At 37.8% G+C, this 23,183-nt stretch overlaps 2 annotated features.

The window, feature by feature from the left end:
* Nucleotides 4,765-4,914: an enhancer, noted in NCBI's record as "active region_20144". NCBI's record gives its function as "activates an Ori minimal core promoter by ATAC-STARR-seq in GM12878 lymphoblastoid cells {active_cell/tissue: GM12878}" and the evidence as "EXISTENCE:reporter gene assay evidence [ECO:0000049][PMID:35858748]".
* Nucleotides 5,225-5,294: an enhancer, noted in NCBI's record as "active region_20143". NCBI's record gives its function as "activates an Ori minimal core promoter by ATAC-STARR-seq in GM12878 lymphoblastoid cells {active_cell/tissue: GM12878}" and the evidence as "EXISTENCE:reporter gene assay evidence [ECO:0000049][PMID:35858748]".

Genomic DNA, 23,183 nt, shown 5'->3' with positions numbered 1-23,183 from the left:
GTTCATTGGCAAGGGCTAAAAGGTGGGGAAGAGAAGTATTTTAAAACATTCTTCAGGTCTTTGATTTCTCTCACCCTCCTTTCCTCTAAGAAATCTAGATTAATGGATGAAATTTTGTGATTATTTTTTATTTTCCTATACTTGTATTATCTTGATTCTTATAACTTGGATCTGAATAGGAGATTTTAAATGAATGAGTGATATTGTGAGCTATGTAATGCCATGGTTAAGAATGCAGGCTTTACCAGAGATAGTCTGGGTTTGAATCCTTTCTTTGTATTCTATTCAAGGCAATTTTCTGGGCACTAGGAATGCAGCAGCAAATGAAATAGACAAAAATCCCTGCTTTCATAAACCATGCTTACCAGCTTTAGGACACTAACTAGTCTGTAACTCAGCTTCCTTTGCAGTAGGAATTGTAAGTGTCCCCACTTCTTCGGCCTGATTGAAGTGTTAAGAGAATCGATGCACAAAATAATGCTTAGAACTAAGCTTTGCACATAGAAAGCATTTAGTAAATGTTAACTGTTACATGTAAGACCAGATTTTTCCCCTTTGTTTTCTGTTAATTTGAATTGTGAAGTATAAGCATACCAGAATCTCTGGAAGCTCCTGCACACAGCCCTTTTCTCAGCCCCTGCTTTCAGTGAATCCCAAACTTAGACACAGTCCTTCATTGATGACATTTGCTCCATATGCCTTCTCTCACTCTGTGGCTTTCATTTCACTTTTTAATAGAATCTTTTAATAAAAAGATGTTCTTAATTTTAATCTAGGTCATTTTCTCAATCTTAAGGGGTTTTTTTTGTTTTTTGTTTTTGTTTTTTGTATTCTGGCTATGAAATTCTTCACTACCCCAATATCATGAAGACATCCTTCTATATCTTCTAAACCTTTATTTTTCACTCTCACATTGAGAGTTACAGTCCATCTGGAACTGATTTTTGTGTGTGGTGAGAGATAGAGAAATGTTTCCTATTTTTTACATAGGAATGTATAATTGACTGTGCTAGGCGGAATGATGGCCCCACAAAGATGTCCATGTCCTGATCACTGGAGACTGTGAATATGTTACCTTTCATGGCAAAGAAGACTTGGCAGATGTGATCTCGAGATAAGGAGATTATCTTAGATCATGTCAGTGGACCCAATCTAATTAAACGGGTCCTTAAATTGCAAGAACAATTTCACGCTGTAGTAAGAGGGGACTGTGACTAGGGAATGACAGAGAGATATAACATTGCTCACTGTGAAGATGGAGAAAGGGGTCATGATCTGGTGTGGCACATGGTGGGAACGTGAGTGGTCTTTAGAAGTTGGAAATAGCAAGGAAATAATTCACTCCTAAAACCTCCAGAAAACAGCAGAGCTCTACAAACACTTTGATATTAGCCCTGTGAGACCTGTGCTATACTTCTGACCTAACATTAAAATAGTAAACTGATACTGTTTTAAACCATTAAGTTTGTGGTTGTTACAACAGCTATAGAAAATTAACACATTGGCCTGGCATTATTTATTAAAGAAACCATCTTTACCCATTGTTCTTGCAGTTACTTTTGTCACAATTGCATAGTCTGTTTCTGCATTTTTTAGTCTGTTTCAATAGTCTGACTGTGTTTTTGTGCCAGTACTACACGCTTAATTTCTGTAGCTTTACAATAGGACTTGGTACTCAGTAGAGCAAATTCTCCTCTGGTGTTCTTCTTTAACAGTGACTTGACTATACTTGCCTCAATATAAATTATATCATCAGCTTGTCTATTTCTTAATAACAACAAAAATAACTTATTGGGATTTTGGCTAGGATTATATTGGCTCCATGGGTCAGTTCCAGAAGTTGACATTTTTATAATATTGATTTAAAAATCTATGTCTTATATTCTCTAATTTACTTGATCGTCCTTAATTTTTCACAATAATGCTTATAGTTTTTTATGTAGAGGCCTTGTACATACATTTTGTGTTATATATCTCTAAGTGTTTAACATTATTTGATTATGTTGTAAATGGCATATTTTCTTTTTTTCTTTTTTGGCTAGTGTATAGAATTGATTTTTGTATATTGACTTCACATCTAGTTTCTTTGCTAATACACTTACAAATTCTAAAACTACCCGTAATTCTTTTGGAATGTTTACACATACAACCATATGACTTTAAATAATGATTTTTTAAAAAAATAATAAAGATAACTTCTTATTACTGTATTTTTATGTCTCAAGGTATTAGGATTACTGTTGGTAATGTGGGACTAGTCACAGTTTTTTAAAAATATAGAGTCCATCAATAAACAAATTTATTGCCATGCTTTAAGTCAATACATATGAAACTTGTGCTATTTCAGTTGTAGCATTGTTTCCATTATAAATATGTCTGAAATTTGTTAATTAGTAGGTTGGCAATTCAAAATTCATTTTCATCAATTCAGAAAAGGATAAGGCTAAATTTATCTTTCTTCTCACAGTTAAAAGGCAGACAGTTAAATAGCATTAGAAAGGTTAAGAGGAGGCTGGGTACAGTGGCTCACATCTGTAATCCTGCACTTTGGGAGGCCAAAGTGGGAGGATCACTTGAGGTCAGGAGTTCAAGACCAGCCTTGCCAACATGGCGAAACCCTGTCTCTAATAAAAATACAAAAGTTAGCCAGGGCTGATGGCACATGCCTGTAATCCCAGCTGCTCAGGAGGCTGAGGCAGAATTACTTGAACCCGAGAGGTGGAGGTTGCTGTGAGCCAAGATTGCGCCATTGCACTCCAGCCTGGGCAACAGTGCAAGACTCCATCTCAAAAAAAAAAAAAAAAAAGGTTAGGAGGTATATTCACCAACTTCTTGTAGCGTATCTCAGCTAAAACCCTTATTACTTCATTGAATTAACCTTTTAACCAGCCTCCCTTTTTCTAAGCCTTTAGTGTGTTTCTTCATAATGTTAGAAAAGTATTATTTTCCTTTTTAAAAAGACTTTATTTTTTACAGAAGTGTTTAGGTCCACAGAAATACTGAGCAGAAAGTACAGTTCCCCCATTGTCCCTCTTCTACCTGCTCCACAAACAGCCAGGAAGAGTCCATGTTGCAGTTGAAATGTGAAGACCACCTGCTGACAGAATTCCCTTTTGTTTGGGGGAAGTCAGTTGTTTCTTCTATTAAGGCCTTCCACTAATTGTACGAACCCAACCCACATTATGGAAGACAATCTGCTTTATTCAAAATCCACCAATTTAAATGTTGATCTCATCCACAAACACCCTTTTGGAAATATCCAGAATAACATTTGACCAACTATCCAGACACTGTGGCCTAGAAGGGTTGATACAGAAAATTAACCATCACAAGCTCACTCCTTGTCACCTTGGCACTCATACCCATCTCCTAAACCATATTTAAATCTTCAAATAAGGACAATAATAAGGTTATACCTCTACCTAACATGAGGTATGGAATTATGTGGGTACAACTGAAAATGCACCAATCCTTTCCCCAGAAGAAGATGCAAAGTCTTTGGCTGATATTTACTCTTCTTGATGTCCTGTAACTTACACACTGTGATGCAACATTAATAATACTTAAATTCTATGATATAAAGTCAATATATCTTATGTTACATGTTAAGGTGATAAGAAAGGAAAAATATTTGCTTTGTACACACACATACAAATGTATTTATAACAAAAATGAGCAAATATGACAATTATAGTTCTGATTTTGGTAACTGGTCATGTGGTCATAGCTGGTATTTGTAACTACCTACCTTCTTCCACTCTACCTCCAATATTCCCTTTGCCTCAGCAAGTCCCTCAGTTGGCTGTGGTTCTTTACCTGGTGAGGTGACATGAACCTTTGAAGGATTTAATGTTATTTGATTAGATTGAAAATGACATATTCAAATTTTTTTCTAGCATATAGAATTTATTTTTATGTATTGACTCTGCATCCAATATCTTAGCAAATGCATCTATTAATTAAAAAATTATCTCTCCTTTTTTTGGAAGTTTTACATGTATAGCCATGTTATCTGTGAATACTGACAGTTTTAATTCTTCTTTTCCTGATCTTATAATTTTTATGTCATTATCTTGCTTTATTGCACTAGCTAGAACTTCTAATAGAGTGCTGGATAAAAGTGGTGAGAACAGGTACTTGTCTTGTTCATGATATTGAAGAAAAACTTTTAATATTTTCACATGAAGTATAATGTTTGTTGTATGTATTTAGAACTATTTTTTTAAATCAAATTTGGAAGTTCTAACCTATCCCTACTTTGCTAGGAGTTTTTTAAATTGTATTTTATTTTAACATAATTGTGATTAACATGTAGTTGTAAGAAATAATGCAGAGAAATCCTATGTTTTCTTTACCAGTTCCTTTCAATTATAATATATTTAAAAATGATGGTACCAAAAAAATGGCAGATAGGAGGCAGGACTAACTTGCAGTTCCCACTTGGATGGACAGAGCAGCATGTGGAGACTCACACTGCGAACTTTTGCTCTAAGAACTACCACAGGAATGTATCAGGAGTGCCGAGAGAATCCACAGACTCTGTAAAGGAAGTGGATTGGCGCTGCAGGTTCCGTGAGACAGCTGAAAAACTGTGAGTGCCCAAAGTGTGAAAGTGTGAAAGGGGGATCATCTGCTCTGCCCCCAAACACACATCCTCACTGGGGAACCTGAAGGCCCAAATCATGGGAGAAGTATTTGACCTTACCTGGAGCTGAGACAAATTTAGAGAGCCAGTGAAATACAGGGGTCTCTACTTCTAAGCAACAGGAAGAGCACTGTGGGCACTCTCGGTCCCCAGGAAAGCCATTTCTGACTTTGCTCACAGGGGTCCTTAGGGAGGGCTGCCTGTGAAATTGGGGAAAGACCACAGGGAGAAGGAAACTTTCAGCTGAGCTTTGTAACAATTTCAACCCAATGTGAAGTTTTTGGGACGGAACCCGGAGAAAGGGAGGAACTGAGAGTGCGGACTCAGCACAGAAGCTGTGGCAGGCGGGGAGGCATGAAACCTGAAAGCCCTGCTTTCGTTCTCAGTGGAGGGGCTTGCAGCCTGGGACAAGTTCTCAGCCCTGCTCACTGGCCGCCTGGCTATAAACTTGGTGCTGTTGTGGGGGCAGGGTGGGAGTGAGACTGGCCTTTCTGGCTGTGTGGGAACTTGGTAAGGCCTGTAACCACTAGCTTTCCCCCACTTCCCTGGTGAACTGCATGACACAGCACAGACAGCCATAATTGCCCTGGGAACATAACTCCATTGGACTGAGAACCACACCCTCATCCCCTACAGCAGCTGCAGCAAGCCCTGCCCAAGGAGAGTCTGAGCTCAGACACCCCTAACCCTGCCCCAACCTGATGGTCTTTCTCAACCCACCCTGGTAGCCAGAGATAAAGAACATAATCTGTCCGGAGCTCTACGGCCCCACCCACCACCTGAGAAACCCAAATTCTTATCCAGGTGTCACTAGGGAAAGCCTGTATCCTCCTTCCCTATACTACCTACAGCTGATGCTCTCTTGTAAGCGCCACCTCCTGGCTGGAGGCCAACCAACACAAAACTTATCCAGACAACCCTAGGGCAAACTTGTATCCTCCCTATACTATTGCTGTTGAAAGACCTGAAGACAGATCACATCACAGCACCCTTTGCCAACACTCCCTAGTACCAGCCCAGAACTCGGAAGCTCCACTAGGTGGCCAGACCCAGAAGAGAAATAACAATCACTGCCGTTAAGCTCTCAGGAAGCCCCATCCCTAGGGGAAGGGGGAACAGCACCACATCAAGGGAACACCCTGTGGGACAAAAGAATCTTAAAGCAGCCCTTGAGCCCCAGATCTACCCTCTGACATAGTCTACCCAAATAAGAAAGAACCAGAAAAACAATTCTGGTAACATGACAAAACAAGGTTTTTTTTTTTTTTTTTTTTTTTTTTTTTTTTAAATCACCCCCAGAAGATCATACCAGCTCACCAGCAATGGATCCAAACCAAGAAGAAATCTCTGAATTGCCAGGAAAAGAATTCAGAAGGTCGATTTATTTTATTATTTTATTTTATTTTATTGAGACAGTGTCTCACTGTGTCCCCCAGGATGGAGTGCAGTGGTGCAATCTTGGTTCACTTCAACCTTTGCCTCCCGGCTTCAAGTGATTATCCTGCCTCAGCCTCCTGAGTAGCTGGGACTACAGGCACACGCAACAACACCCGGCTAATTATTGTATTTTTATTAGAGATAGGGTTTTGCCATGTTGGCCAGGCTGGTCTCAAACTCCTGACCTCAGATGATCTGCCCGCCTTGGCCTCCCAAAGTGCTGGGATTACAGGCATGAGCAACCATGCCTGGCCCAGAAGGTCGATTATTAAGCTACTTAAGGAGGCACCAGAGAAAGGTGAATATCAACTTAAAGAAATCTTAAAAATGTTACAGGACATGGATGGAAAAATTTCCAGAGAAGTAGATGGCATAAATAAAAAAAATCTCAACTTCTGGAAATGAAGAACACACTTAGAAAAATGCAAAATACACTGGAAATTCTCAGCAATAAAATTGAACAAGTAGAAGAAAACAGTTCAGAGCTGGAAGACAAGGCTCTTGAATCAACCCACTCCAACAAAGACAAAGAAAAAATAATTTAAAAAATGAACAAAGCATCCAAGAAGTTTGAGATTATGTTAAATGAACAAACCTGAGAATAATTGGTGTTCCCAAAAAAGGAGAGATATCTAAAAGTTTGGAAAACTTATTTTAGGGAATATTTGAGGAAAACTTCCCTGGCCTTGCTAGAGATCTAGACATCCAAATACAAGAAGCTCAAAGAACACCTGGGAAATTCATTGCAAAAAGATCATCACCTAGGCACATAGTCATCAGGTTATCTAAAATCAAGACAAAGAAAATAATCTTAAGAGCTGTCAGGCAAAACCAGTAGGTAGCCTATAAAGGAAAACCTGTCAGCTTAATGGCTAATTTCTTTGCAGAAACCCTACAAATTAGAAGGGATTGGGGTCCTATTTTTAGCCTCCTTAAACAAAACAATTATCAGCCAAGAATTTTGTATCCAGAAAAACTAATCTTTATAAATGAATAAACAAATGCTGAGAGAATTCATCACTACCAAGCCAGCACTACAAGAACTGCTAAAAGGAGCTCTAAATCTTGAAACAAATCCTTGAAATACACCAAAATAGAACCTCCTTAAAGCATAAATCTTACAGGACCTATAAAACAAAAACACAATAAAACAACAACAGCAGCAACAAGTTATTCAGGCAACAGATAACACAATGAATAGAATAGTACCTCACATCTCATTACTAACGTTGAACGTATTAATAAATGGCCTAAATGCTCCACTTGAAAGATACAGAATGGCAGAATGGGTAAGAATTCACCAACCAAGTATCTGCCATCTTCAAGAGGCTTATCTAACACATAAGGACTCACATAAACTTAAGGTAAAGGGATGGAAAAAGACATTCCATGCAAATGGACACCAAAAGCAAGCAGGAGTAGCCATTCTTACATCAGACAAAACAAACTTTTAAGCAACAGCAGTCAAAAAAGACAAAGAAGGACATTATATAATGATAAAAGGACTAGTCCAACAGGAAAATATCACAATCCTAAATATATATGCACCAAACACTGGAGCTCCCAAATTTATAAAACAATTACTACTAGACCTAAGAAATGAGATAGCAACACAATAATAGTGGGGGGCTCCAATACTCCATTGACAGCACCAGACAGGTCATCAAGACAGAAAGTCAACAAAGAAACGATGGACTTAAACTATACCATAAAACAAATGGACTTAACAGATATTTAGATATTTTAAATGGGTGAATTGTGTAGTACGTGAATTACATCTTCATAAAATTATTAATAAATCTGTTATGTGTAAAAATCAAAAGTAACTTATAAACTGCATTAATTGTAAGTACAAAAGGAGTTCAAAGAAAGTGAGACTTGTAGTGTCAAAAAAAAAGCAAACATTCATGCTGTTTTTAGTAATCCCTTTCTTCTTTTGATGAAAATGAGTTGTTTTTCATATTTGCATCTATCCTTTTTGTGTTTTTAGAGAAAAGCATAACATTTAGATGATTTCATATTTTGAACATTGAGTCATATGATTATAAGGTTTTAAAAATCAGACTCTCAAGAGCAAATTAAATTTCAAGGAAAATTATTTGCTTTATTTTTTTAAATGGAATTAGAAAATGACTTCTTGATACTCCTCTGATCAGAAGCCTGATAATGAACATTGATAGAGTTATTGGCTGCTTCTGTGGCAGAATTTTTGAAAAATGTAATGGAACTAGACACTGAGTAAAAGGATATTTGAGTGTGAGTGAAACGAATACTAATTTTCTGGTTTTAGTTCTGGGTATTCTGATTTTCTCACATTGTATAACATTTGGTTATGACTTTAGAGTTAGTTTTTCATCTTAGTAAGCTTTAAGGAGGATCAATTCATTCTAAAAATTTCTATGTAGTCAATAGCAAATTCATTTCTTTTGATTTTTAAAATATGGCATGAAAATTAAGGGACTAAAAAAGAACTTCTACTGATAAAACATTCAATAGATCTATACCTAGGTTATCGAGGCTACAAATAAAAACATTACTTTTTCCAAAGTGTTTATTTACAAACTACTTCTCTAGGGAGCACTTGCTAGAACAATCAATAATAATAATAGAGTGAGTTCACTTACTCTTGGACCAAAATTAGCAAGTTTTATCTCATCATCTGAAGAATCATTATGGACACTAAAATACTGATAAACTTTTGAATAAGACTGTTTCTAGGAACTTCCATGCTAATTCAAGTAAATACTATTATCCTAAGTATAATCATCTGTTTCCTGATTCCCAGATTTGAACACATGTCTGACAACTAAGCACATACTTATAGGATTTGTTCTGGAATTTTGGTCACAGTAAACATTAGCATCATCACACCTGAAATTGAGATCATCATATACACCAGTCATGCTGTCACTTCCCACTCCCATACAATACCCATGGCTGACATTAAAGCAACTATGTCTAATTGGAATTGGCCCTCATCAATAAGAAACCTCTTTGCTATCTGATTTAGATGTAGCTTATGGTGACCTCTTGATCAGTTGGGACTATGTGGAAATGATTAGATCAATGAATGGGTCAGGAGGCAAAAAAATTATTTGAAATATGACAAGAAATTGTAAAATTGCTTGAACCTACTCTTGGCTACTTATGGTTTTTTATCCAAATAGGAGCAAACAAGACTTCTAGAAGACCCTTAAATTGAATTGCTAGTGAATTTGAAGGTCTGCATAGTTTTCATCTCTTCTTCTATTTTACCACAGTACTAATCCTCGAGGAACTTTAGTAGGAGGAAAAAAATAATAAACAAATACTTATCATGCAAGGTATAATGTAAAAAAAATTTGTGAGAATGATAAGGGATTCAGAAAAGGGAGTGTTCCATTCTACTATTTGAAATGATTGAGAAGGGTCATCTTGCTATTTGATTTCTGTTTCTTCCATGTCTTTACTCCTCTATTCCTTCTTTTGAATTAATCAAATTGTTTTTGGTATTCTATCTTCATTTATCTACTATGTATTTAGCCGTTTGTTTTCTAAAGTGATTGTTCTAGTGATTACAGTATTAATCCTTAAATTATCATAATCTACTTAGAATTAGTATTGTGTTACATTATATACAGTTATATACTGTATATACAGTTATATACCATATATACTGTACATACTATATACTTTATATATACTGTATATATAAAGTATATACAGTATATATAGTATATATAAAGTATAGATACTGTATCGATACAGTATCGATACAGTATCAATACTGTATCCAGATACAGTATCGATACTGTATCGATACAGTATCGATACAGTATCGATACAGTATCGATACTGTATCGATACAGTATCGATACAGTATCTATACTGTATCTATACAGTATACATACAGTATGTATACAGTATACATAAAGTATAGATACTGTATATATAGGATACAGTATATAATATAGGATAATAGTATTTACTTGAATACAAAGTATATACCAGGTATATGCTGTATATACTGTATATACCTTGTATATATACCAGGTATATGCTGTATATACTGTATATAACTTGTATATATACCAGGTATATACTGTATATACTTTGTACATACTGTATATATACAGTATATGCTGTATATACTGTATATACTTTGTATATACAGTATATACTTTGTATTCAAGTAAATACTATTATCCTAAGTATAATCATCTGTTATATATACAGTATATACTGTATATATACAGTATATATACAGTATATACTGTATATATACAGTTACTTTATATACAGTTAAGAACTTTACAACAGAATAATCCAGTATGCCTCCTCCCTCATCCTTTGTGCTATTGTTGTCATTATATATATGTATATATATATATACATACACACATATGTTATGAAATCAGTCACACATTTTTGTTGTTTTAGCTTTAATCATTTGGTTGTTTTTTCAAAAATATTATGAAAAAAAGTCATTTTTTATAGTCTGAAAGTGACTAATTCCTTCCACTTTTTTAAATCTGAAAAAAAGTCTTCATTTTACCCTAATTTTTGAGGAATATTTTCACTGGATATAGAATTCTGGGTTGATTGATTTGTTTTTCTCTTAGGACTCTGGGTGTGTCATTCCATTGTCTTCTGGCCTCCATCAGAAGTCAACCATTGTTCATCTTATTTTTCTTTTTGTATGAATGTGTCCTTCATGTTTGGTTGCTTCCAAGCTTTTCTCTTTATCTTTGGTGGTCATGAGGTTGACTATAATATTCCAAAGTGTGATTTTCTTTGTATTTATACTTCTTGGTGTTTGTTGAGCTTCTTATATTTGTAAACTGATGTTTTCCACCAAATTTGGAGGGATTAGAGCCATCATGTCTTCAAATATTTTCTCTGCCCCATTTCCCCATTTCTGTCTCTCTCTCTGTGACTACAAGGATATATAGATCTCTTGATATTGTCCCACACGTCATTGAGGCTCTGTCCATTCTTATCTCAATCTTTTTTTCTTCTCTATTATATTGATTAGATAATTTCTATTGATTTGTCCTCAATCTCAAGAACCTCAATCTCCAGACTTCTGAAATCTTGAATCTGTTGTTAAGTGCGTCTTCAAACTTTTCATTTCAGATATTGAATTTTTCAGTTCTAGAATTTCCACTTGAATAACATGGGTAAAGTTTTGCTCATCTGAATTGACCATAAGTTTATCTTCAGAGATACTTACCCTTGGTCAAAGCTATAGAATTTATTAACTAAAGATAAAAGATGTTTTCTAACCACCTAAAGATGAAAGAAGCATTAGAAATGTGAATGTTGGCTGGGCACGATGCTCACACCTGTAATCCCAGCACTTTGGGAGGCCGAGCCTGGCAAACTCCTAAGGTTAGGAGTTCAAGACCACCCTGGTCAACATGGAGAAACACCATCTCTACTAAAACTACAAAATTAGCTGGGTGTGGTGGTGGGCACCTATAATGCCACTTACTCAGGAGGCTGAGGCAGAAGAATCAATTGAACCTGGGAGGCGGAGGTTGCAGTAAGCCAAGATTGCACCACTGCACTCCAGCCTGTGCAACAGAGTAACACCCTGTCCCCCCCCCCCAAAAAAAAAAAAAAGAAAAGAAAAGAAAAAGAAAAAGAAATGTGAATGTTTTAGGAAAAGAAATTCTAAAAGCTTTGTAACTAAAGATAAACTACAGTGTTGAATATGGGTATCAACTTTAGTCTCCACTTTCTTTATATCATCAGTTAACATTGTTGTTATTATTCCAGAATAAAAGAAAAAAGGGAGGAATGGATGAAACAAAAAGTAACAGGGCCTAGAAATTAGAGTGGATTCTAAAAGAAAAGATGGGAAGATAAAGAGAAATTTGATCTTTTTGTAATTCTTTGCAGATCCATAGTTTAGACAGACAGCAACATGGCGATTTTCTGACGACTCATGGGAGGAACATTAGCCAGTTCCAGACTTTTTCTGTTTCCCCTCTGTGTTGAAAATTAAACTCAAAACTTAACAGGTCAGGAAATGTCTACCCACCTGATTCCACTTGCTGCTGTAGCAACTTTTATTCTTAATTTACTTTGCTGAACCTCTGTTATGCACCGGTAAGATAGGAATAATAAGAAAATTTATTATTTTGATAGAATATTTGACTGAGTCAGCCAGGCGCGGTGGCTTACGCCTGTAATTCCAGCACTGTGAGAGGCCGAGGCAGGCGTATCACAAGGTCAAGAAATCAAGACCATCCTGGCCAACATGGTGAAACTCCGTATCTACTAAAAATACAAAAATTAGCTGGGTGTGGTGGCACATGCCTGTAGTCCCAGCTACTCGGGAGGCTGAGGCAGGAGAATCTCTTGAACCTGGGAGGCAGAGGTTGCAGTGAGCCAAGATTGCGCCACTGCACTCCAGCCTGGGCGACAGAGCGAGACGCTGTCAAAAAAAAAAAAAAATTGACTGAGTCAAATTAATAAGTCATCAGTGATTCACATCAGAGGAGAAACTAAAAGTTTTTAGATAATTGCTAAGTGTCAGGCACTGTGCTAAACAGCTAAGATAGGTTGTTTCGTTTTTTTCATACAAAAACAGTGAGAAATTTTCTTATTGCTATCTTATGGGTGAGGAACAGAGGTTCAACAAAGTAAATTAAGAATAAAAGTTGCTACAATGGCAAGCAGAGTCACGTGGGTAGACATTTCCTGAACCAAGTGAGTTTTGAGTTTAATTTTCAACACAGAGTGGAAAGAGAAAAAGTTTGGAACTGGGTAATATTCCTCCCATAAGTCATCAGAAAATCACCATGTTGTTGTCTGTCTAAACTATGGATCTGCAAAAACTGTGTCCAGAAAGAAAAGCGCCTTTGTGTCTAACTTGTAAAGACCTTTAATGGATGTTTGATAATGCCAAAGATGATGGTGACTAACAGCTGTTTGATAGTCTCCACCTGAATATAAGGCTGTAATTAAAACTAGTTTTCATTCTCTCTAGACAGATATGCAGCTTTGCTACATTGAACAGATTCCAGGTCAGTGATTTCCAAGTTGCAAAGTTTTGTATCCATTTCTATTGGAAATCCTTCTCTAGATCTAAATTAAACCTTCTTCTTGGCCAGGCGTGGTGGCTCATGCCTGTAATCCCAGCACTGTGGGAGGCCGAGGTGGGTGGATCACCTGGGGTCAGGGGTTTGAGACCAGCCTAACCAACATGGAGAAAACCCATCTCTACTAAAAATACAAAATTAGCCGTGCTTGGTGGTGCATGCCTATAATCCCAGCTACTCAGGAGGCTGTGGCAGGAGAATCGCTTGAACCTGGGAGGTGGAGGATACGGTGAGCCTAGATCCTAAATATCTCTAATCTCTATTCTCTACCATTAATTTGAACCAGTGACCTTCAGCTTATTTCTATGCACCCTCCCTAAGGGTCTCTCACTCTACTTCACTCTACTAAATTAATTGTTAACCCTCTGGGACTCATTTTTGTCCTTTGTAAAATGGAGGAATTCATTTAATCATGACTTTCAGACTTAGCTCTTCTTGGTCCTAGAGGTTCAAAGAAGTGATTCAGATAATCCTGTGTTAGAGGCTGACAAACAGGAGAGTCATTGCCCAGCCAGAACACTCCTGCAACAAAAGCAGCTCTGCTTTCTGTTCACATAGGAATTGGACTTCTTCATAAGATTTTATTTAAAGAGATCTCATACTAAATCAAGTCTGAGAACCACTGGAGTAGGTTCCTTTTAGCTCTAAACAGTCTAAGACAATATCCCATGATTCTGCAATCTCAAAAACTCTAACAGAAGGAAGAGCTGTTTCACTGTTTACATTTTGTATGTTTTCAGCTGAAAGATTAGAAATGTGGGTGATACCCGTGGAATACTATGCAGCCATAAAAAATGATGAGTTCATGTCCTTTGTAGGGACATGGATGAAATTGGAAATCATCATTCTCAGCAAACTATCACAAGAACAAAAAACCAAACACCGCATATTCTCACTCATAGGTGGGAATTGAACAATGGGAACACATGGACACAGGAGGGGGAACATCACACTCTGGGGACTGTTGTGGGGTGGGGGGAGGGGGGAGGGATAGCATTGGGAGATATACCTAATGCTAGATGACGAGTTAGTGGGTGCAGCGCACCAGCATGTCACATGTATACATATGTAATTAACCTGCACGTTGTGCACATGTACCCTAAAACTTAAAGTATAAAAAAAAAAAAAAAGAAATGCGGGTGATACATAAAACTTGGCTGAGTACATAAGTAGGAACTGCTCCTGGCAGAGGGACCCCCAGGAATGAATTCCTTTCTTATGCAATCATTCATACTCACTCCTCAGGTACTAGAGAAAATACTCATATTGTTATTTTCCCTGGTGCTGATAATTTAATGGTATCAGAATGGCATCAGAATTCTAGGCAGAGTCAAGGAGAGCAGAACCCTAGATAAGAACCCTAGATCACCTCTCCTCCTCTGGCCTCTCCCACCCCTGTGGCAGCTCCTCCCATTCTAGCCACTGGCATGATAAGCAGAACTGAAGTTTATTTCAGTATTTCTTAGGTCAAACACTTCAAAGCTGCCACAGTTCCTGAAAATCTACCCCAACATCTACAGGATCACCAGGTGAGATGCTGGATGTACCCCCTTCTCAGCTTCTGGTGCTACAGAGAACAGTCCAGTTTTTCTCTGGTGACTGCATAGTTCACAGGAGTTCTCCTTGCAGGATCTGCTGCTCAAAACCTAGGGAGGATGCCTGCCAGGTACTCTATCCTATATGTTTGTATAAAACAGCGGGGTGTGGTTGAGGCAGAGTACTTTATTACAAGCTTGAGCTCTGGTTTGAACTCCAAAGAAGGAAGGATTTATAATGTTCAAATTATTGTGAGTCACTGTTGTGGATAATCCTAAAGTTTTCTGGAAACCCTTTCTTGGTTGGAAAAGGAGCAGCATTACATCTACCTGACCTCCCCGATATACTGCCTCCACTCTCTTCCCTTGCCTCCCACCCCCCCATTTCACTTCCAGAATAATCTATCTCAGATATAAACCTCATTAAGCCATCTTCTGCTTTAATGCCTTTTGATGGATTTCTATGGACTTATGAATAATGTACAAGTTCTTTAACAGAGCATAAAAAGACCAGCCTCATTTCGCTCCATTTTCTATTCTGCAATTTTTGTTGCTGCCATTCCATTATCACTGTAGCTAAGAGTCGGAACATGAGGTCTTTGCCTGACTGGGTACTCACTATTAAGAGGATCCTTCTTTATTGATTGATTGATTGATTGAGTCAGAGTCTCTGTCACTCAGGCTGGAGTGCAGTGGAGCAATCATAGCTCAATGCAGCCTTGAACTCCTGGACACGAGCGATCCTCCTGCTTCAGCCTCCTGAAGCTGGGACTACAGGCGTACACCACCACATCTGACTACTTTATTTATTTAATTTTTAGTAGAGTTGAGGTCTTTCTACGTTGCTCACAGGGTTCTCGAACTCTAGGCCTCAAGCAAAACTCCTACCTTGGCCTCCCAAAGTGCTAGGAATACAGGGTGAGCCACTGTGCCTGGCCCCTTTTTAAATTTTTAAAATAGTTCTGTATTTCTCAAGAGTGACTCTAAGGTCCCCTGCTATACAATCAATAAATATGATTATTAAAAATAATACTTATAATAATAGAGCTAATATATATTGCTAGGCACTAGGTTGTGTTCTAAGTTAACTTATCTAATCATCACAACTACCCTAAGAGGGAAATGTTATTTCTAACTTCATCCAGTGGATGAGGAAATCCAGGCACAGGGAGGTTACCTAATTGCCTAAGTTCACAAATGGCAAAGCCAGTTTTCAAACCCTGGCCATCAGACTCCATGAGCCATTCCCTTAACTATGCTCTTAGAGAGTATCCCATTAAAAAGCAGGTTCACAGGCTCCTCTACAGCCTCGAAACATACACTTTTAACAAGATCCCAAGCTCTAGATGCTGGTTTGCAAATTAGTAGGTGAGTGCCCTCTAGTGTACACACGAGTGTCACACATTTGTTGATGTATCATGTTTTCTAATGTGCTCTGTAAAAAAGAGCCAAATTTCATTATGCACGTATTTCAGTGGTTGTAGTTGGATAAATTATATTCATGTCGATGACTAAACTGGTTTGTACCACCTTAAATTTATTTTTGACACAAATTCTATAAACACAGTATTGCCATAAACGCTGTCTCTCTGGTTAGACCCCAGCAGCTCCTAGAAATTCAATTTAAATATTGGAGGCCCCCCTTCCCAATACAGCTTGTTGTTAAGAATGGAGGTTCATAGCCTTAGTGCACAACAAATGCTAAGTGGAAAACATCACATCCACTCTGCAAGAGTCAGGTTTTATCCATCCTCTCTATGTTGGTTGCACTAGACCATTAATTGTCTTCAGTAGGCCGCGCTCAGCTTATTCCCTCATAAGGGGATGCCATTACATTTGAGGCCCTCAGTCTTTCTTCCTGTCATCTTTAAGTGAAAGTTAGAATAGAGATAATCCATCCACTATTTAGTGTGATGTGCATAAACTCCCTATGTTACTACGTTAGGCTACTGGTTATTCTCAGAAAGGATTCCATTCACGTATTTATTAGGTTATAATTTAGTGTTTATAACAAAAGACCCCAAAATTCAGTGGCTAAAACAAAAGTGAAGTTCATTCTGTCTGATTGAACTTTCCAGAGTCATAGTCCAAAATGCATAGTGTTGCTCTGTCATCCTCACTCAACACACAGATTTTATTTCTGGGTTCAAAGTGGCTGTTCCACTTCATGCCTTCACAGCTGTATCCTAGCCAGTAGCGAAAAGGCCAGAGGAAGCACATTTATTCCTTTTAAGAATAAACTCAGAAGTGACACACAATAGTTTTATTCACATCCTACTGGCCAGGATTTGATCATAAGCTTCAAGAGGGGATATGAGTGTAGTGGAAGCATTCTGCTCTACTATAGCTGCTAGCTGAAGCTGCTATATGCTCCACGAAACCTGGAGAATGATTATTAAAGTAAGAAGAGAAAAATGGATTTTTGTTGGACAACTAGTTGTCTCTGCCACAAACCATTTCTTCTGTTTGTATATTTTTATGTGATTCTACAAGTGTCAATTATTCACTGAAAATAGGCAGAAAAATAAGTCTCCATTATTTTAAGAATTCAAGTTAAGAAAATACTAGAATTTTTATGGAGACGCTGCTGATTCTGTTGAGAACCTTGTTTTCTTTGGTACATGGTCCTTCATGGTAGGTAGAGACTTCTTTATTATGAACCTAGGCCATCAGTTCAAAAGTAAATATAGGCAGTCATGGCATTGCATGATTCCAAGAGGCACAAATTACATTTCGTTATCATGATTTGGTTAAATATCACCAGCTCCCCAATGGAGTTCAAATTTCAGTTACCACATTAGATAACTGTGGGTAATTGTGTAAAGTTGTGTAAAGTACAAATCTGGTGCTAGCTCTTCAGTCCACAAATCACTACATAAATAACATAAATGCATCATGTTCACGACCAATCATGCTACTTTTTTTCAAAGTCTGTTGGTGATTGGTCAGTGCCCATCTGTTATTCAGTTTATGCACAATTTATGCAAAGTGTGTAGCTATGTTGTTTCTTTGTTGCCCCATGATAAACGCATGTGACATTTTACAAAAATGGATCATTGAAAGAAGGAATTGGTCAACAAAGATGAAAGTGCAGCAAAGAAACAGAAAGCAACAAAACTGGAAGTGAAATTCTAGTTGAACCTAAATGGAATTACTGAATAAATAGCTAACCAGGGCAATGTTAACATTGTTGCCTTTTGAGGCACTTAGATATGCACCCAGAAGAACGGGATTAGTCAAGGTTCTCCAGAGAAACAGAACCAACAGAATGTATATGTGTTTACATATATGGAGACAGAGAGGAATTAGTTGATTGATTTTAAGGATTATGGAGGCTGGAAAGTCCAAAATCTGCAGGGTGGGCCAGAATAAATCCAGGGAGTAACTGATGTAGCAGTTCAGGTCCGAAGGCCAACTGGCGACAGAATTTGCAAAATTCCTTCTTGCTCAGGGGAAGTCAGTCTATTGTTGTATTCAGACCTTCAACTGATTGGATGAGGCCCACTTACATTTTGGAGGACAATCTGCTTCACTTCAAGTCTACTAACCTAAATGTTAATTTCCTCACAAAAACATCTGGAATAGTGTTTGACCAAATATCTGGGCACTATAGCCCAGTACATTTGACCCATAAAATTAACCATCACAGGAACTTAGTGAAGGCAAACTTACTGACATATGTGAAGAAAGTGTTTGTGTTGGATGAAGATATTTCAGAGGAAGTGATGCTGGAAAAAAAAAAAAAAGAAAAAACCCATTTCACGTTAAAGAAACTATTAGAATATTTCGCAACACTGAAGGCACAAAGGATCAAATGTTGAAAGCTGATCCAGACTTAGAAAGTCTGACAGTTCACTGAGGCATAGAAAAGATACTTGTTTCATATCTTCAGTTATACAATAAGAAAAAGAAGGGAGGCACTGTTCAAACTACTTTATAGAAGTGTGAAAAAATAAAACACATTAATTCTCAATGTTTCTAATGTTTTAAATTACAATGCACCAACAAAAGTAGTTTTACTGTTTTTCATCTACAACCTACAGTAACTGAGTTTTTAATGTTTCTATTAAAAATTAAATTAAAGATCACGGCTGGGTGTGGTGGCTTATGCCTGTAATCCTAGCACTTTGGGAGGCTGAGGCAGGTGGATTGCCTGAATTCAGGAGTTCGAGACCAGCCTGGGCAACACGGTGAAACCCCGTCTCTACTAAAATACAAAAATTAGCCAGGCTTGACAGCGTGTGCCTGTAATCCCAGCTACTTGGGAAGCTGAGACAGGAGAATTGCTTGAACCTGGGAGCAGAAGTTGCAGTGAGCTGAGATCGTGCCACTGCACTCCATCCTGGGCAACAGAGCGAGACTCCGTCTCAAAAAGTATGTATATATTAAAGATCACATAACAATCCTAATTTCTTCCTATTGATTATTAAGAATGATATGTCTGGCTTCTGCTTGCAAGGTCACTGTCATGGTCCCACAACTATTACAAATGCCTATGTAATAGTTCATTTGAAGAGATTATTTGGTGGCTCAAATGGAATCCTTTTTTCCTAGGAGGATGGGAAAGGCTGGCAGCTCCTCTGTGTGTCCTGAAGTTCCTAGTAAGGTGCAGGTGTTTAGTAAATGTTATTGACATTGTATTAGCACACAATGACTCTGGGTCAGATGAAGAGCAATGTTGTAACATTAATAGAGCCTTAGAGACAAGGTCTAGACTTGGTCTATCACTAAACCCATCTAAGCCTCAGTTTTCTAATCTATCATGTGAGTAGTGACAATAGTGGTCCTGTCTACCTTATGGGGTTGATTGGAACCTAACACATAGAAGGTGCTAAGTAAATGTCTATAGAAAGAATAAACGATTCAGGACTCAGTTTGACCAACAAAGTTGGTCAGTTACCCTACAAAGTTCTCATAACCCTTCAGTTATAGTTGAGTTCCTGTTTTACACAGGAAGGCTGCCTGAGTGCTGGTTAGAATGAAGGTGAGGACAAATATTTGGAGAAAGCAAGCCAGATCCGTTGAAGGTACATATATTAGAACCCCAAATGGCTATTCCTTTGCTCAATCCTCTTTCTCATTCCCCTTGACCTTTATACTCCTTGAATGCAGCCTGAATGGTGCAATTTGGGAAGAGAAGAAAGTAAAACAAACCTTGAGCCTGACCATGAGGTCTCTGAGTGGCACATATTCTTGTATTTTTAGTTCTCTCTGCTGCCTCACTTCCTTAAGCAAAAACAAACAGAACCATGCTCTAGTCTTCCACTCCAAATAAAAGATCAACATCACAACTTCCCACCCTGAGCTACTGTTGTTCTATATGTTCTTTCATTTCAGCTGCCACCCCAACAGGTTTTCCGAAACTCTTGTTTCAAAGGCAGCCAATGACTTCATTATTTCCCATAGCCTCTACTCGGTACTTCTGTTCTCTGGATGATCAGAGAGTAAAGCTTTCTGCCTGCTGACCCCACTCTCCTCTTTGGTGCTGTCTCCCTCCATGTTTCTGTGACATCACACTCAAGGCCCCAAGACTTCTTGCTTTTTGTCCCTAATGTGACTGTTGTCCCATGTTCTGACATCAAGCCCTTTATCTTTTAGTTGTAAGAGTTCTTCTGAATGAGCTCATCATCCCAGCACTATGGGTATCTCAAAAATCTCTCTCTCCAGCCCTCATCCCTTTCTGGCCTCATGTTTCCATTTATATAGCTACTAATGTCTCAAGTTCAACATGTCTGCAGTAAGTCTGCAGTAAGAGAATATTTCAAATGTGCTTTTCCCTCCTCCTGCATTCATTCAACCTCATTAATTCTAGAAATAGGTCCTGGCCCAGGCTAAAGAGTTAGACATGGGGGAAAAGATCACTCTAGATAGATGCAGAGAACAAAGGGAATTGATTTTTGACTCCTAAGTTTACATGGATATTGATATGGGTCTAAAGTAAAAGGTCTTAAATGTGTATTTTTCAAGAGAGTATTCCAGTCCACCAGAGGAGATGAACTCTCAATGACATGAATGGAAGTAGCTTTATGTTTCTTGAGCAAGTACTACTGGTTGCAAGTGCCCTGAAAGCATCATGGAGGCAGGTACAGGAACAATATTAAATATCTTTCTTATTGCTGCCTGATGAGGACCATTAAACATGTACCCAATACCCATTGTTCTTTGATTGCCTCACAGGAGGAACACCTATATATATCCCAACACTTTGTCATCAGCATCTTCTCAAATGACCCACCTTTTTGGTTGGCCCATAACATTTTTAAGACTCTGAGAATGGATGGTAAGAGCATTTTATACTGAAGGGATGGAGTGGCCAGGAAGCTCCTGTATCTGGGCAAATGGAACAGCCAGAGAGCTTTAGCTAAACTGGTGGGAATACTTCTATTAAGAATTGTCTCTATCAAACTGATTATCTCCTGTCCTCCCTATAAACTCCTGCTCTGTACCTGCTAGTTCTTCTTTCTAAGTTCCCTATTTTTGTTAATCTTAGATATGTAGGCTCAAAACCCTAGAATCATATTCAAAAATTTCTCCCTCTGGTGGGCATTTATGGTACTTTCTGCTCATCACATTTCCCTTTGTCTAGAAATGATACCCCACATGATATCTCCAACTTCCCTACCCCAAAACACTAACGGGAGAGTCCATGTTCTTACATGATCCCATTTTTTCACTCATGGCTATTTTTTATTGGTTGGTCCCATGGTAGGTATTTGAACCAAGGTGGGAAACAGTCTATATCAGAAAGGCTTAAGCTGCAACAAAACACCTGGCAGACAGTTCTTTAAATTATTTTTTCTCATATAACAAGAAGTTCAAAGGTTAGTGGCCCAGTGCTGGTGCATTTGCTCATGGATGTCATCAGGACCAAGGTTCCTTCTTTCTGACTGCTCTGCAAACTTTTACATGGGACTTTCAGAGTCTTAGTCACAAAATGGTTGCTGCAACTCCAGACATTACATCAATATTACTATAGGGAAGAATTAGGGAGAAGCCACAGGGACTGAAAGGATAGGTACCATGAGTTAGTCCCTTTCATAAAACCTCCCTGAAATGGTATCTATACCTTTGTGAAAAAATAATTTCAAAATTACACCAGTTAAAGAAAAAGCAAGTTGACAACACTAAATTGCATTGGATATTTAGACTATAAATATAAACAGCTTTAAGAACCAATTATTTTAATAATCTATGTAAGCATTTGCTACTATAGACCTAAAAGTTTAAAATACAAATTCTAGGAGAAAAAAATGAATTAACATTTTAAAAATTCTACTTCCTTGGTAATCCTACCACCCCCCTCCCATCACCCCACCAAAATTTCTGATGAGTTGGGCAGAAGGATGCCAAGGCAAACACAGATTTTCAGCAATATTTTGTTACTAATTAGCCTGAGTTTCTGTATCTATCTGAAAGCAACAGAACTGAGTGAATTTGGTAATACATTTCTTAACTTTGGCTTTCAGAATTTTATAATTGTTGAAAATAGTATAGTTTAGTAAAAATAGTGAGAATTCTAGGTGTGTGTGTGTGTGTGTGTGTGTGTGTTGTTAGAAGGCAGTAAAGCTACCAGAGGGATAAACATTAGAACTCTCTCTAACATGCACCAGCAGGCCTAAAATAAGTTATGTTCAACAGGGCTTTAGGAAAAAGTTCGTAAGGATTCTGAGAAGCATGTGGAGTTTGAAAAATGATGTTTATGTACTAATACCTATAAGGCTAGGCAGAATCATCTTTGCAATAGGGTCACATAAAAAATAGTTGGAAAGCAATGCAAGAAACTAAGCTAAAAAACAGACAAGAACTTCTACTTTACACTTTACTTTCTACAACTTATTAGAAACTTTTTATTTGTCCCAACTAGTTTTCTGATGTAAGAAATTACTTAGATAGGTGATGTCTTTTTTTCTTCCCCCATACCGACAAATACAACTTAAATATAAGTATCCCACTTGGGAACAATTTGAACCTCCAGAAAGGTGATTTAAACTCACACTAACAAAGTTATTGAAGCCTTTCTTAAGCATTGAATAACAGTTTGCCAGTAGGGAGGGTGCTAGGAACCAGAGGAAGAAAGGAGTGAGGCCCTTCGTATAGAGAGGCTAAGGATGAGAGGGATGGAAACCTGGAATCTAGTATGCAATTTGCTCAGGATCAGCCTTTGTGACCGGGCAAATGTTCAAAACAGTCTGTTCTTACTTAGCTTTAACTAACTTTATGGGCTTTACTAACTTTATGGGTATTTTTAGCAGAATTAGAGCAATAATGAGGGGGTTTCTTACAAATAAACGTACCAGGGAGGTTCCTTTTCATTTGATGAGGTTCATTTATCATCACCAGGCCCAGCCCAACCCCATCACAGGCATCCAGTAGAGGCCATCAACCCTTCCTACAATGACAATTCTTATTTCCCTTCCTCCACTTCTAACTTGGCCTCCTGGCAGGTTGCACTATGACCAAAAGCTAATTGTTTTTCTT

This window comes from Homo sapiens, chromosome 3, assembly GCF_000001405.40.
Source record: "Homo sapiens chromosome 3, GRCh38.p14 Primary Assembly".
NCBI lineage: Eukaryota > Metazoa > Chordata > Mammalia > Primates > Hominidae > Homo > Homo sapiens.
The sequence above is the reverse complement of the archived record's forward strand: the minus strand, read 5'-3'. Positions and strand labels throughout refer to the sequence as shown.